The following is a 16,167-nucleotide window of genomic DNA, read 5'->3' as shown; positions in this document are numbered from 1 at the left end:
AACAGTTTGGCAGTTTCTTTAAAAAGTTAAACAGACACTCCCCATAAAATCCAGCAATTCCACTTCTAGGAATCTACCCAACAGAAATGAAAACATATGTCCACAGAAAGACACGAGCATGAATGTTTGTAGCAGCATTATTCACAGAAGCCAAAACCTGAAAACAATCCAGATGTCCATCATCCCTCCAAGGGAATATGACTAGGAATAAAAAGGAATGAACTGCTGATACAGGCTACGCCATGGATGGGCCTCGAGAACATTATGCTAAACAAAAGAAGCTGGATGTAAGAGACTGTATATTTTATGAGATGCACAGATAAGGCAGATCTATGGAGACAGACAGCAGACCAGTTGTTGCCTAGGGTTGGGCATGGAGCAGGGGTTTATAGGAAGCGAGCCTGAGAGAACAGTTTATATGCTGCTCTCAAGAGATGTTTGCAAACCTCTAACTTTCTTGACTTGGAAACTGGAAGGTGGTGATGGTCGTGTAACTCTGCATTTCCTAAAAGGTATAGAATAGTACCCTGATGATGGATGAAATTTTATGGACTAAAGCTGTTAAAACTTTTATTTGACCACGGGCCTTTGTGAAGTTAGACTTATGTGTAAATCTCAGCTCCCTAATGCACTTGTGATGTGGCCTTGATAAGTTACTTCAGTGCTCTGCATCTTTTTTTCTGCATCTGTAAAATGGGGCTACTGATGCCTCATTGCTGCAAGAGCTGGAGATAATACCTGTAAATTGTCAAGCCTGGTCCCCGGCAGAAAACAGGCACCAAGGAAATGGCGTTACTATGACTTATCTCTTGCTAGTTTCCAAAATAGTTTGTTGTATTAGCAATTTGCAAAGCATTATCTCTCGCTCTTTGAAAGGCTCTTTAGACTGTGAATTAAATCTATGAAGTAGCATTTTTTCCCCTCATCAATTTGGCAAAAATGCAAAAGTTTAAGACTATCAAGTCTTGACAAGGATCTGAGCAATTAGGTAGCTTTGTTCATTTTTGAGTAGTGAAAATTGAAACAGCCTTTCTGAGTGCTAATTTGGCAATGTCTATTAAAATTAAAGACACGAATAACTTTTACCCTGAATATTTTGGTAGGGTATGGATTTGTGGGGGAGAGAATAGATCATTCATTCATTTCTTTTCTCATTAAGCTAAGGATGTAGAGATTTAACAGAAGAGTAGAAGTGCCTTGGATCAGGAGCAGATGCAACGTTTTTTGTTTTGTTTTGTTTTGTTTTTTTTGCGCCTTTGGTTTGATGAACAGAGGAGAAAACAGCTCAGCACCAGCTTTGTCTCTGCCTTTGTAGGGGGCTTCCATCAACACCCAGGAGGAACTTCACGCTAATAGTTCAAGCGCTGCTCTTAAAAGATGTTTGCAAACCACGGCCGGGCGAGTGGTGGCTCACGCCTGTAATCCTAGCACTTTGGGAGGCCGAGGTGGATGGATCACTTGAGGCCAGGAGTTCAAGACCAGCCTGGTCAACATGACGAAATGCCAGCTCTACTATAAATACAAAAATTAGCCGGGTGTGGTAGCATGTGCCTGTAATCCCAGCTACTTGGGTGGCTGAGGGATGAGAATCGCTTGAACCCAGGTGGTGGAGGTTGCAGGGAACTGAGATCATGCCACTGTACTTCTGCCTGGGTGAAAGAACAAGACTGTGTCTCGGAAAAAAAAAAAAGAAGGAAGATGTTTGCAAACTTCTAACTTTCTTAGCGTCGTGGAGCTTATCCTTTTCTGTGGAAGAATGCAGTGCTGCCGACTACATGTTCCACAGTTATGTTCCAGCTCCTGCTTCCCAGGACCTTGGAAACCTGTTTCTTCTCAGACCACCCCTCATTTTGCTTTACTCCCCCTTTTATCCTGTTGGTTCTAGGAGCAGACACAAGACCACAAACCCATTTCTCTTGGTCCTCCCTGACCTCCTGGTGGGTGGTTATGTAGTCATCCCTTAGGGATCACGCATTTGTCTCTTTGTAACTGAGCATGAATGAATGGGTTCACATCAGCAAGCAGGACTTTTAAAAAACAGTGCTTCATGTTGGATCATCACAGGTACTAGTGGCCTTGGGTGATCTTGACTTCCTCTGATTGACTGTAATTATGCTTTTGTGCGTGTCCCCCTTAAGTGATCAGTTTGGCTATTGGAAGCTCCTTCAAACCAGGTTCTTATTTACCACCTCCAGACCTCCTTGAGAGAGTCCTTATTTTCCAGTGACAACAAGGATTTTCAGGCCCACGTCTTGGTTTGTTATTATTTATTATATTATTATAATAGTAGTTATTATTTAAAGAGCCCTAGTCCCTTTGTTGTGGGAACATCGGAATCTGGGTGCATATTTTTGGTGTTTTGTTTGAACACTGGCATACAGCAGGGTAAAATGGGAACAGCTGGTGGCATTAGGGATAGAAAAGAAAGAGGTTTTAAACAGCATGCATTTATGATTGTTTATCTCTTTGATTTTGTAAAGTTAGTTTGAATAGGATAACTCATTAATCTAATTAAAAAGAATTTTGCCACATTGCCATATTATGTGTTTCAGTGAGTATTACTGAGAAGCTGAGGTCACCGTGTCTTTTTTTCTTTAGCATCTTGGAATTGGCCTCCAAGTGCCTGGGCCCAGTGTCAGGTCCAGAGTCAGGTCCCGGCTGTCCATGTTTCTTTCTTGGGCACCAACTTTCTGAAAAGGAAAAGTAGGCCCAACTCCTGTTCTAAAGGAGCTATATTAATTGTCTGTTAATAACAAGTCACTCCCCCAATGCAGTGGCTTTATCGTCTCACTATTTCTTTGGCTCAGGAATCTGTGTGGCATAGCTGGGTCGTGTGGCTCAGGGCCCCTCACAGGCTGCAGTCAGTTCAGCTTGAATGGGGAAGGGTCTGCTTCCAGGTTCACTTCCGTGGCTGTTGGCGGGATTCACTTACTCACGGGCTCTTGGCTTGAGGACCTCCGTCTCTCATGAGCTGTTTGCTAGAGGCCACGCTCAGTTCCTTGCCACACAGGCCACTTCATCAGACAGCTCACAGTGTGGCAGCTGGCTTTGTCAGAGTGAGCAAGTGAGAGAGCCGGAGAGAGTGTGAGCAAGATGGAAGTCACAGTCCTTTGTAACCTAATTTGGGAAGGGACATCACATCACTTTGTCATATTCTGTCAGAAGCAAGTCACTAGGTTCAGCTCACACTCAAGGGGAAGGAATTGCACAAGGAAGTTGTCTTAGAGTTCTGCAGAGAAACAGAACCAATAGGCTATATATATTAGAATATATAATAGGGCATATATATTATATATCACATTTTAAATGTATATTATATATTGGCTGGGGGTGGTGGCTCACGCTTGTAATTCCAACACTTTGGGAAGCCGAGGTGGGCGGATCACCTGAGGTTAGTAGTTCGAGACCAACCTGGCCAACATGGTGAAACCTTGTCTTTACTAAAAATGCAGAATTAGCTGGGCATGATGGTGTGTGCCTGTAGTCCCAGCTACTTGGGAGACTGAGGCAGGAGAATCGTTTGAACCTGGGAGGTGGAGGTTGCAGTGAGCTGAGGCTATGCCATTGCACTCCTGCCCGGGAGACAAGAGTGAAACTCTGTTTGAAAAAAAAAATGTGGGTGTATATATATATATATCCCTCTCTCCCTCTCTCTCCCTCTCTTTCTATATATATATGACAGGGAGAGAGAGGAAGGGAGGGAGGTGGGGGCAGAGAGAGAGAGAGAGAGAGAGAGAGAGAGATTGATTCATTTCTTATAGGAATTGGCTCATGCAGGTTTAGAGGCCGAGAAGTCCCACAGTCTGCAAGCTGGAGTCCCAGGAAAGTTGATGATGTAAGTCCGAAGGCCTGAGAATTTGGGGGTTGATGGTGTAGGCTCTGACTTGAGTCTGAACACCCAAGAACCAGGAGCACTGATGCCCAAGGGAAGGAGAGGATGGATGTCCCAGCTCAAGCCAAGAGAGCAGAATCGCCCTTCTCTACCTTTTTGTTCTGTTCGGGCCCCCAGTGGATTGGAGGATGCCCACCCACATTGGGGAGGGCCATCTGCTTTACTCAGTTGACCAGTGCAAATGCTGATCTCTTCCAGAAACACCCTCACACACACACCCAGAAATAACATCTTACCAGCTAGCTGGGCATCTGTTAGCCCAGCCGAGTTGACACATAGGATTAACCATCACAGGCATGAATGCCAGGAAGTGGGGGTCATTGGGAACCATTTCAGGAGCTGCCCACCACAGGAACCTGAAGTCACACACAAGTGTGGGAAACCTTGTTTCTTGGAGAAAAATACAAATATAACCTTTGAAGTGTGTTCAGATCTTTTAATTCTTTTTATTTTGGGGGCACTAATGCCAGTTCAGTGTCAGGCTTTCACTCTTTAAAGGCCTTAGAATAGAGAGATTTAGTGTCTCAGAAGGGATTTAGTTTAAGTTTTGTAGAAGTTAATTAGGCATGTCAGAAAGTAGAAGTGAATTAATATGAAGATCCATCAGAAAACTTTTCAACCTTTACCCCCAAAATTGAAGTACGACTGTGTTTTTGTAAGACTACAATTTTTACACTGGTATCTAAGTTCCACAAAAACCAATTTATAAAAAACACCAATAGATTAGGGCTATGATATAATTTAGCTGAAACTTAATATTTTTATTACATGTACATATCCCAGTTTTTAAAATTGGCGCTTATTTTAGACCTTTCTAACCCATTTCCAGAGGTTTAAAAATGGGCTCCATAAAACTAACATAGAGAATATGATAAGTTATAGCAATTAAAAAGTCTGATGTAAACACGTAAGTTATTATATGGATTGAAACACGTCATGCCTGAACTCTTGGTTTTGGTTGTTGTGGCAGTAGTACAGTCATCACAGAAGAAACTGTCACAATATTCTTTTCAAGGTAACTGTGTTTAGGGCCCCAGGAGATCCTGCAGTGAAGGAAGGATGTTTTGTCAGAATCTAAATGGGCTGACCAGACATTGGACTTCTGGTGGAGATGTGCTTCAAGAATTTACTGGTTTTTACAGTTTAATTGTTTCATTCGGGGGTGGTGGTGATTCCAAAGATCCCCATTGTTCTTGTCTAGGCAGTATCTGTATTTTGGTAGAAGAGGCACCAATGTATGATGGTTCCAACCCTAAGTCCTTTTGAGTCATTTCTACAAGGTGACCCTGGGAACGAGTGCTCTAAGACACCTTGAGTTCACCCTTCATCTGCCTTGGGGAAGTGTTTGGCCTCCACTTTCAGGGGCTTGGGTTTTTGAGCAGTTTCTCATTTATTACCTGTCCCCTTCAGTCTTGCTACATCTGGCAGTGCAAGGTTGGGTGTGAGGGAGGTGGGGGTACCATGTTCTAGGTGTCTAGGTCAGGGCTGCTGCCTGTTGTTGTGTGGAACCTGCACAAATGCACTTAACAGGCCTGGGTCAAGGAACTTGTTCTGCTCTGCTGTTGCAGCTTTGAGCTCAAAGCCATTTCAGTGTCCAGTCTTTCTTCTCTTTTCAGATCCAGAGCTTTGGATGTTTTGACTGTTACATTTTTCTTTGTCAGTGAATCTTTCCTCTGCCTAAGATTGTCCATTTACCATCTCTTAACCTTTGCATTATTTTTTCACCTTTTTAAATAGAAAGTGTGTGTATTGGAATGGGGGAGTGGCTTTCAGCTCAGAAATCACAACTTTGAGCCAAGATTCTAAACAGTCTCAAATCAGGGTTGCGGGGTGGGTGTCAGGAATGATTAGTTATTTTCCCAGAGCTTCTAGCCTTAAAGAAGCCAGGCACAAAGCCAGCTTCCTCCCTGTGTCTCAGCTGGCTCCAGTTCAGGGTGTTTATCTTCCCCTAAACAAAATTGTCTGGGATGAAGTAGAGGCCAGCTGTCTAACACTTCAGTTGCAGTTTTGAGATCATTTTTATTAGGTTTACTAAGGAGCAGTGGAACCTACTGGAAAAGAGGAAATGTATGGTTTTCAACTTGTGAGATGCCCAGCTTAATCACGCAAACACCCAACCAAATCCAGATACTACAACACCCTTGCTTCAGCAGAAGTTTTATAAACTTTTTCTGGGTATACTTCCCAAGGTGAATTTTCCATCTCAATGAAGTTCTTTAAGTTTTCCTCTTGGAAGATCCCTGTTCCAAGTAGGAAAATATTTCTGGGACTTGATGCTCTGAACACCATTTTTGTTGGAAAAGTGCAATTAATTTGAACAAATTTCAAAGTTACTGCTGCCTTTAGAAAGTATACACATATTTTAAAACAGAATTTTTTAGTTTAAAACTGTAACGGGGCCAGGTTCCTGATGGGTCACTTTTTTATTGAAGGTTGACTTGATGAAGTCAGACTTCTTATCCTTATTATCTTTTCCTCTTCCCACATACGAAATATTTAACATATATTTAAATGTCTTTGTGTAAATCTCTCTGTATTGCAATTGTTCTGCCTGAGAGTTGGCTTGATGAGCATTGAAGCATTTCTTTATTCCATTCCCATTTCCTCATACTTCCAAAGCCTCAGCAGTTATCATTTGTCCCTGGAAAGCTGCTGACCACCTGTTCCACCTGGGATTCTAGGGGTCTTTGGTATCTTTCCCATTCCAGGTTTCCTTTTCAGATGTCTAATTTGAGAGCATCCTTTTGTGATCCATAGATTTTTGGCTCAAACTTCAGATATTTCCTCCTTCTGGGGTTTCATCTTTTCTGGAGATCCTTAGTTCTAACCACTGCTTTGGCTCACACAAAAGGTTCCAGGAATTTTGCCTTGTGCTAACTACCTTTGTCCCAGCCATCTTTCACTATATGTCAGGTCCAAATGGATGAAGGGAGAAGAACCATGGATAAATTCCACTAGACTCAGCTCCCCGCAAATTCTCATGTTTTAGGCATGTTTTACTCATTGTGTCCTACTTTGATATTCTGATCCCTATCCAAAATGTGGCCATTGTGGTGGGCTCTTCATGTCTGTCCCACTTCTGACACCAATGGCGTCATTGCAGATGGGTTACAGATTATCTGGCAAGGACCTTGTATGTGCTCCCAAACTTATACATTTTTTATTTATTTAGCCAAAAATACAGGATATTATGGGAGTGCGGTGACTACACAGAGCTGAAGCAGATGTAGTATATCTTGGGCTGGCTTTTTCTGGCCTCATGGTTTACTAATGAGGTCTAGTGACCTCTTCAAACTAGCAGAATCCTGCTTGTACATAGAAGCATCCCAATTTTTGCTATGCAGCTTCCCTTCTATATCAGCATGTTGGATGACCTCATACTAATAATCTGGGCATCTATTTAAGGACTATTTACAAATATCAGGATTTTCTGGTACATGAACCAAAGTCAGCATCTGCAAATCCACATGTTCTTCTGTGGAAAGAAAACAGGGGTAATTTAATGGATACATCAATCAAATATGTATTAATAATCAAACTATGTAAGTTTATGTCAGCATTGAAAGCAGAATGGAAGGCTACACTCTTTAGAAGAGGTATGGGAAAAATGGAACTAGGATGGTGGATAAAGGGCATTTTGCCTTTGTCCGTGATATTCTGTTGCTTTTGAAAAGGAGAACATACTTTAAGAAAATTTGTTAAAATTGGTTGATAATTCTTGGTGGAGAAGAACCTAGGTGTTAATTGCACTTCTCTTTGTAATATTTCTGCATTTCAGTTATTCCTTTAAAAAGTGATGTCTGTTTGCGGCTGCAGTGAGCTATGATTGTGCTGCTGTGCAATCATATCTCAGGGTCTTGATCTGTTGCCAGGCTAGAGTACAGTGGCACAGTCAGAGCCCAGGGTCTCGCTCTGTTGCCAGGCTGGAGTGCAGTGGCACAGTCAGAGCCCAGGGTCTCGCTCTGTTGCCAGGCTAGAGTGCAGTGGCACAGTCAGAGCCCAGGGTCTCACTCTGTTGCCAGGCTGGAGTGCAGTGGCACAGTCAGAGCCCAGGGTCTCTCTCTGTTGCCAGGCTGGAGTGCAGTGGCACAGTCAGAGCCCAGGGTCTCGCTCTGTTGCCAGGCTGGAGTGCAGTGGCACAGTCAGAGCCCAGGGTCTCGCTCTGTTGCCAGGCTGGAGTGCAGTGGCACAGTCAGAGCCCAGGGTCTCTCTCTGTTGCCAGGCTGGAGTGCAGTGGCACAGTCAGAGCCCAGGGTCTCGCTCTGTTGCCAGGCTGGAGTGCAGTGGCACAGTCAGAGCCCAGGGTCTCGCTCTGTTGCCAGGCTGGAGTGCAGTGGCACAGTCAGAGCCCAGGGTCTCGCTCTGTTGCCAGGCTGGAGTGCAGTGGCACAGTCAGAGCCCAGGGTCTCGCTCTGTTGCCAGGCTGGAGTGCAGTGGCACAGTCAGAGCCCAGGGTCTCGCTCTGTTGCCAGGCTGGAGTGCAGTGGCACAGTCAGAGCCCGGGGTCTCGCTCTGTTGCCAGGTTGGAGTGCAGTGGCACAGTCAGAGCCCGGAGTCTCGCTCTGTTGCCAGGTTGGAGTGCAGTGGCACAGTCAGAGCCCGGGGTCTCGCTCTGTTGCCAGGCTGGAGTGCAGTGGCACAGTCAGAGCCCGGAGTCTTGTTCTGTTGCCCGGCTGGAGTGCAGTGGCACAGTCACAGCTCCAAGAGATGTTCTTGAAATTTAAGATTTATTAATAAGGTACAGATAATAGGAATTTTAAATATATGTACAGTTTGCTTCTGTCATCTTTTCAAGACAAATTTAGGTTTTATTTTCTATATGGAAGGCCTTATTTCCGAGTTTGTAAAGGATTTCTCTTGGGAATCCTAACACCCCTGCATCATGCAGAAGAAGGGAAATAGAGAACTTTATCACAGACACAGGGAGACATTTGAACAGGAGTGCATGGGGCCCGTGGAGGGGACCTTCTTAGCCATCAGTTCTATTCCCTTGTCACACCTCCGTCTCTTTCTCTTTCCTGGCATCTCCATGGAGGAGACTTCCTCGCATCCCAGAGAAATAGCAGAGATTCTTTCATAGGACAGCCTTTGGCCTTAGGTTTGCCTGAGGCGTCAGAAAGGCACATTTGACTCAAAGAATAATGTTGCGCAGTCTTTTCAATGTTTAGAGATGCTGTGAACTTGGGCATCACTTTCCCATCTGTGAAATGTCCAGATGATTTCTATGTTTCTTAAAGACTAAACTTCTAGGCCTCTGACTTTAGGATTTTTATTTTATGTTCTGAAAACCAAATCATTGGATATCTTTGATAAAGATTAAATATATTAAAATATATTTTCCCAATGGATCAGTTTTGTTATTTGACACTACTCATGGTTTGGTTGTTCAAAAGGAATAAGTTTTGAAATCCCCAGGTCCAGGAGATAAAGCAACCTGTTTCCAGGATTGTTCATTTCAAACAGTGACTCCATTAGAACTGTCCACATTCGAATATGACAGCAGGGATTTTCACTTTCCTGGGAGGAAGGTTTCTAAACCCAAAAGAGTATACAGAGGAGAAGAGCATTTGGCTCAAGTTGGAATGAAAAGCAGAAAATGCAAGAAGGGGAAAAATCATATGGTGAAATGATGGATGATGGGCGATAATAACAGGGACTAGATTCAAGAGTTATGAAAATCACAGGTGCAGCAGGGTCTGCTGAATATGAAGGATCTAAACTGAAAATCGGAGGAATAAATGCAGGAGATGAAATGACTACCAAATAGGAAGCACTAACATTATTACATGCTTTAAATACTTGTAATGGGCCAGATACTTTTCAAGGGTTTTACTAATTATCACTCCTTGAGTTTTCATAACACTGTTATGATGTAGGTATAATGATCATCAAAACTGAGGAACAGAGTGGTTAAGTAGCAAGCCCTAGGTCACACAGCTAGTCAGTGTGGGAACTTGACTTGAGCCAGAGGAATTCAAGGCTAGATTCTGTGTTCTTGGGCATTACTTTATGTTCTCTCTGTCTGGCTTACTTTGTGCCATGTGCTGTGCAAAATTCATACTTATGGAGAAAATTAGGTCCTGTTTGAAATTACTGGGTGGAAAGCCTTTGTTCAGAATTTTCAATGAGCATGTCTTTGGGGAAATTCTAAGACTGCATTTAATTCTCATAATGATCCCATGAGGCAGACACAGCAATCCCATGTATCAGATAAGATAATTGGTTTTATGGAGGTTCAAGGGCTTGGTCACAATCACACTGTGGTCGTCTCATTCAGAGTCCAGGTTCTTAATCACCATGTGATGTCGAATGTTAGAAGATTTTTATGGGAATAAGAAGTACAGGAGAGAGAGACTGTCTTTCCCAGAAGGAAGCTCCATCTCCCCAACAAGTGAGTCTCAACTATCCCAGTCATACAAGCAGGTAATTCTGAGGGAAGGACCCTCACCTGTCCTGGAACAGAGGTTGAGCCCCTAGATATAGCTGCCCCTGATTTCACACTGGGGACCCAGCACCTGAAGGTGCCGTATACCAAACCCCAGGGATCACCCCACACTGTGGACTTTGGACCTCTGGGGCTCCCGCAAGCACAGCAGTTTAGGAAAACACTTCTGGCTGGACAGAGTTAGTTGAGTTTACTTTCTCCACAGGACAACCACCTTGTGGATTTAAGACAGGTGATCATTATTCCAGTTTTACAAATAAGAGTTCGAAGCCAAGGCATCAGATGGGACTGCTTTTGCATTTGTAGGATGCATCAGGTGTTGAATGCCACAGATTTTGCTGCAAGAATCTCTGATTCTGAGATATAAGGGCCTGCATAATTTTATCTCTGATTTTCCAAAGGCACCAAACACCTTGCGGTTGACTTTTTCATTGTGTGCCTTAAAATGAAGAACATGTAGATCCCCTCTAAGTTTCCGCTCTGTGACTGCAGTGTTAATGCTTGGTTTCTAACATGCCCTTTTGGTAGTTCTTGGCTGAATCTTCCTTCCTTATGGAATCAGATCTGGGGCAGGTGAGTCCATCTGCTCTGTCATGAACCATGTGGTGGTGAAGAGTGCAGGCTCTCCGGCGGATCACCTGAGGTCGGGAGTTCGAGACCAGCCGTGACCAACATGGAGAAACCCCCGTCTCTACTAAAAATACAAAATTAGCCGTGTCTGGTGGCGCATGCCTGTAATCCCAGCTACTCAGGAGGTTGAGGCAGGAGAATCCCTTGAACCCGGGAGGTGGAGGTTGTGGTGAGCAGAGATTGTGCCATTGCACTCCAGCCTGGGCAACAAGAGTGAAACTCCATCTCAAAAAAAAAAAAAAAAAAAAGACTGCAGACTCTGATCTCAGACTGTGGGCTCAAGTTAAGCCTGTGCTAATTTATAAGCTGTATGTGTGACCTGAACAAGCTACTTAAACCCTTTGAGCCTCGATTTTATCATCTGTGAAATGAGGCAAATTGTAGTAACTTGCTTGTAGGATGGTTGTGAGAAATTAATGAGGTGAGGTATGTCAAATGCTTAGCAAGGAGCCAGGCTCATGGAAAGTGCTCCATAAATACTAGCCATCCTTGGTTATAGTGCTATTGCTGGGAGTTCAGTGGAGGCATCATAAATGCAAGAAAACATAAGAGTGCGTGGCTGGGGTGACCAATTGTCCTCGTTTGCCCAGGATGGAGATGGTTCCTAGGACATAGGACCTTCAGTGCTCATTGAAAACGCAGGAATGTTTGAGACAAATCAGGATGAGTCGGTCACTCTAATGCTCATCCCAGGCCCACAAGCTGTATTTAGAGTGATCTTGCTGCACAGCCTGTGCAAGGGCTTGCGAATTGCATATACGATTTGTATTTGTGTAGCAAAAAAGATTATCTGATATTTGACCTGCATTTTATAGCTGTTACTTTAGGAAGAAATAGAAGAGCTGTTTGTCAGTTTTGGAAATTATCCCACTAGTGGAACTGTCTGGGATCTGGTGGTGTATCTCTCCGGATCTTAACAGAAAACAGAATTCAACTCCTGTGTGTCAAGAGGCTTTAACAAAGGGACTATTCATGTGGCGGGGTTGAGGTTAAGAGAACTCACAAGGGATGCCGAGGCACTTGGAGACTAGGACTAGTGGGAAGCCTCAGTGAGGTTTTGAACCCTTTAATGTGAAAAGGGGCAAGGGGAGGGAATTGTGTTAATGGAGCCCTTCTCTGTACTGCGCTGGGTTCCAGGAGGCTACATGACCTCGACTCTTTTGCATTCTGATTCCTGACTGAGTTTAGTGATGGAGTTTGGCACTGGTAGGAGATGGTATGGCAGGAGGAGAGGGGTTAGGGTACTTGTCCTCTGCTCTTTCTGCCTCACTACTTTCTGGTATGGTTGTGTTCCTCAATGGCAGTGGTTTTCAAAGTGTGGCCCCTGGACCAGCAGTGTCAGCATCACCTGGGAACTTTTCAGAAATGCAAAGTTTTGGGCTCCATAGCAGATCCACTGAATAAAAAACTCTGGCGTGGGACCCAGAAATTTGTGTTTTTAAACCCTTTCAGGTGATTCTGATAGATGTGAAAATTTGAGAATCGCTGGTCTAGAGAACAAAGACACACCATTAATCCTGGGTGGGGTCTTTGGCCAATCAAATCCCTTCTCTGGTTTGGAGATCAGTTTTCCTCTCAGCCAAATAAGAGGGAGCTTTGCTGTCTCCAACCATAACACTTAACTCTCTGAAATGGTCTTCTTGTTTATCTTTGTGTTTTATTTTAGACTCTTTTCTATTTTATTCTGACTTTTTTCTACTGGAATTTGTGCTCCATAATCATCCGTATTTTGTTCTTTTCCCTGCTGATCCCCCATGCCTAGCGCAATTCCTACACATAGTCGGGGCTCACTTAATGTTGGTGAATAAATGAATATTCAGTGATTTCTAGGATACTTTCAGCAATTTTAATCTTGAATCGAAGATTCTGTGTTCTGTCTTGTATAATAGTAGCTGTTTTATCTTAAATCTGTCATTCAGAAATCTCAATTCATATTTATATTTTCTAAAGAAAGATAATAATTAAAGAAAGAATACTTAAAGTACCCTCTGTGTGCCACAGACCTTGATACCTGCACATATGTCACACATTATCCCATTTAATCCACGTCAAGACCCTGTGAAATTGCATTACTATAAAGAAATGCAGTCTTAGTGAGGTTATGCACATACTCAGTCACGCAGCTGTTAACTGGACAAACCTGGTTTCCACCCAGCTATGTTCATTTCCAGACCAGCATTGTCTCAGTTTCGAAGCTGCGAAAGATTCACAAGAATCTTCTGAATTGTGAAGATTGACTATATTGTTGAAGACTAGTTTGCCCTTAAATATATCTCATCTTGGGTCACTCAACATGTTGGAAAGAGAAGAGGCATTGGAGTCAGAGAGAGCTGAATTAAAATCCCAGCTCTTGCCACTTACTGAGTCTGCATCCTTGGGCAAATTACTGTGATGTTTTGAGCCCAGATTCCCCGCTGTCAATGGGAATAATTCTACCAGTCTGGCAGGGGGTTATGAAGATTTCAGAGGATGCATGTCAAATACCTGGTGAGGGATAGTAGCAGTGGTGGTTATAATATTATTACCTTTTGGAGAATTGTTAACTCACGCATGTGTCGTGATAAATTTCAATTTGATGGGTGGATTTTAGAGTTCACTTCTGTTCATTAGGAAAAATTTGTAATGTGACTTGAACTTATAGCCATTGTTGGAGATCTTTTCATCGCCATCTGGATGGGCTCTGAAGCCAGACTTGTTGGGATTCTTAATCATCATGCTTACTCTCTCTATATCCTTGGGAAAATCAGTTAACCTCTCTGAGCTTTAAATTTCTTTATGGAAATTAATAGTGCCTAGCAAATGGGAATAATAGTGCCTATCTCATTAGATGGTTGTGAGCATAACATGAAGTAACATATATAAAATGGTGAATAAATAGTGTGGAAATGATGATCATGCTTAAATAGGAATTTCCTCTGTATATCAAATAAGGAATTTCCCCCGTATATATATCGAGTATATATACGGGGGAAATTCCTAATTTAAGAGTGGAATGCCCATGGTCTCATTGCTGTTGTGTATTAGACATGCAGATACACATCAACACCGGTGGGTGGGCACCAGGTGAGATCCTAGATAGAAATAGGAAATGGTAACTATATACCAGACATTGTGTAAATAGAAGACTTGCCTTCTAATGCACTGCGTGGAACCTAGAAAGAAGCTAAAGAGCCTCTGAGCCACCAAAGAGATATTAAACACACAAAGCTCTTGTTTTTTCCTCCAGAGGAGAGCCCTTAGTCTCTCCTTCAGTGGCCAGCAGCTCTTACTTTACCTACAATTCTAGCAAGTTTTTATTTGATTTCTAAGCTCAGAAGGTTTAGAAGGAGGGAGAAGGCTGCTTCAGGGAGGCATGCTTGCAGTGCTGATAAATAAAGATGGTGATGACCTCATTACTAGAGAAGAGGAGGGATATTGGTTTACGGTAGTGGTTCTTTAGAAGAAATCAACCTGTAACCTATCCTTTTAAATTTATGAAAGCTTATGATAATACAGTGAGAATTGTGCAGAGAGTTGACAGCATGTGACTCTTGGATTAGGATGACTTGAGAAATTCGAATTGAAATGACAGTTTGGACCCTGTGTTAGTTAACTGTTGCTACATTTATAACCCCCAGTGTTGAATTAGGAGGTATAAATGTAAAAAGCAGTGATGAAAGCTCAATCAACTCAGTAGTTGCAGCTGCTAGGTATGAGGGCCAAGCATGCTTTTCTCCTTGGAAGACCCCAAAGGTCCCACCTTATTGCTTTACTGAAGATGTAGTGGCAGTCATGACAATGATAATGTCAGGAGGAGAAAAAATAGATGTGGGCTCCCAGTACGATAACCGATTATTTTATGGATAACTTTGAGTTATAAGAAAAGGTGAAATTGTTTGCCCTAATCGCAGTGACTCTTTTTAGAGTATTTTCAGGCATACCATTCCATTTTAATCCTTGCTTTCAACAAGTCTTCTGATGCTTTTGCAGATAGGAAGCTGGATCTTAGATGGTTTAGAGGACCAACCCAAGGCTGCACAAGAACTGAGGGTTGGGGCAAGGCCTGAAACCTGCTTTTTAGGTTTTGAACCTGGGGTGCGCACTCTGGCCCCATTCTATAATGGAAGAAGGCAGGGAAGTTTGTGGATCATTTTTAAAGGCTTTGCAGACACAGCTGTTCACATGTCTGCTGTGGGGGTTAGCATGATGCCTTCAACCTAATGAACTCTGGATTGAAGTATTTGGAGTAGTACATTGAATTGAAGAATCAACCTTAGCTAGTTGGAAAGCTCTTACTGTCTTAAAGTCAAGTTTTCTTAGGAGCAGGTTGAATGAAGGCACGGTGGGATGAGCATGTAGGAGGAAATACATAAAAAGGGGCACAGGTAAAAGGGAGAGGGAAGAGGTCCCAGAAGAGCATTCAGAGGACAGTTGTGGGGCAGGGCACATGGTTTGCAGGTGTGGCCAAGTCACTCCAGGATGTGTTCTTCTCTCCTTCCTCTAACTTCTTTGATTTTGCTTGATCCTAACTCTTTAGGGAGAATGAATTTATAGCCTGAGGCTCATAGTTAAAAATAACTTTTATTTTCCATGAGAGATTCATATCAGCATGGGAAAAAATTCCTATGCAATAGGGGCTTTAATAGAAAATAATGATACAGCCACTAGAGGATTCCCAACCAGAGGATACCCCCTTCCTCATGATGTCAGTCTCATTCAAATGGTCTGGGAAAGTCCATGGCTCAGAACCATCTCACTGCATTCCTGATGTGAGGCAAGACAGGCCAGGTGCTGTCATTATCTCTTTCTCCTGGACTCAGAGATGGCAATGACATGGTTTGATTTTCCTCTTTGTCATTTGCATCAAAGGGGAAGATGTGGCAATTGATGATGTCCCTTTGCTGGAAGAAAGGGATTGAGACTGGTTTACTGTAGTGGTTCTTTAGAAGAAATCAACCTCTAATCTGTTCTTTTAAATTCATGAAAGCTTATGATAATGCAGCGAGAGGTGTGCAGAGACTTGACAACATGTGACTCCTGGATTAGGATGACTTGAGCAATTCAAACTGAAACGACAAGTTGGACCCTGTACTAGTTAACTGTTGCTGCGTGACCAATTACCACAAAGTTAGCCACTTAACACACATTTATTGTCTCACAGTTTCTGTGGGTCAGTAGTCTCTGAGCACAGCTTAACTGAGTTCTTTGCTTTTAACATCTG

The 16,167-nt window shown here is 43.0% G+C and overlaps 1 protein-coding gene across 6 annotated transcripts in view, besides 1 other annotated feature; it reads left to right on the top strand.

Moving 5' to 3' along the window:
• PTPRT (protein tyrosine phosphatase receptor type T) overlaps positions 1-16,167 on the top strand; it is a 1,158,017-nt gene that overhangs the window by 5,822 nt on the left and 1,136,028 nt on the right. The gene's annotated exons all lie outside the window — the stretch shown is intronic.
• Positions 7,686-8,296: an enhancer, noted in NCBI's record as "H3K27ac-H3K4me1 hESC enhancer chr20:41804429-41805039 (GRCh37/hg19 assembly coordinates)". NCBI's record gives its function as "activates a minimal SCP1, AML or CMV promoter by ChIP-STARR-seq in primed H9 embryonic stem cells {active_cell/tissue: H9 hESC(primed)}" and the evidence as "EXISTENCE:reporter gene assay evidence [ECO:0000049][PMID:30033119]".

This window comes from Homo sapiens, chromosome 20, assembly GCF_000001405.40.
Source record: "Homo sapiens chromosome 20, GRCh38.p14 Primary Assembly".
Classification (NCBI taxonomy): domain Eukaryota; kingdom Metazoa; phylum Chordata; class Mammalia; order Primates; family Hominidae; genus Homo; species Homo sapiens.
This window is presented reverse-complemented; position numbering and strand designations above follow the sequence as displayed.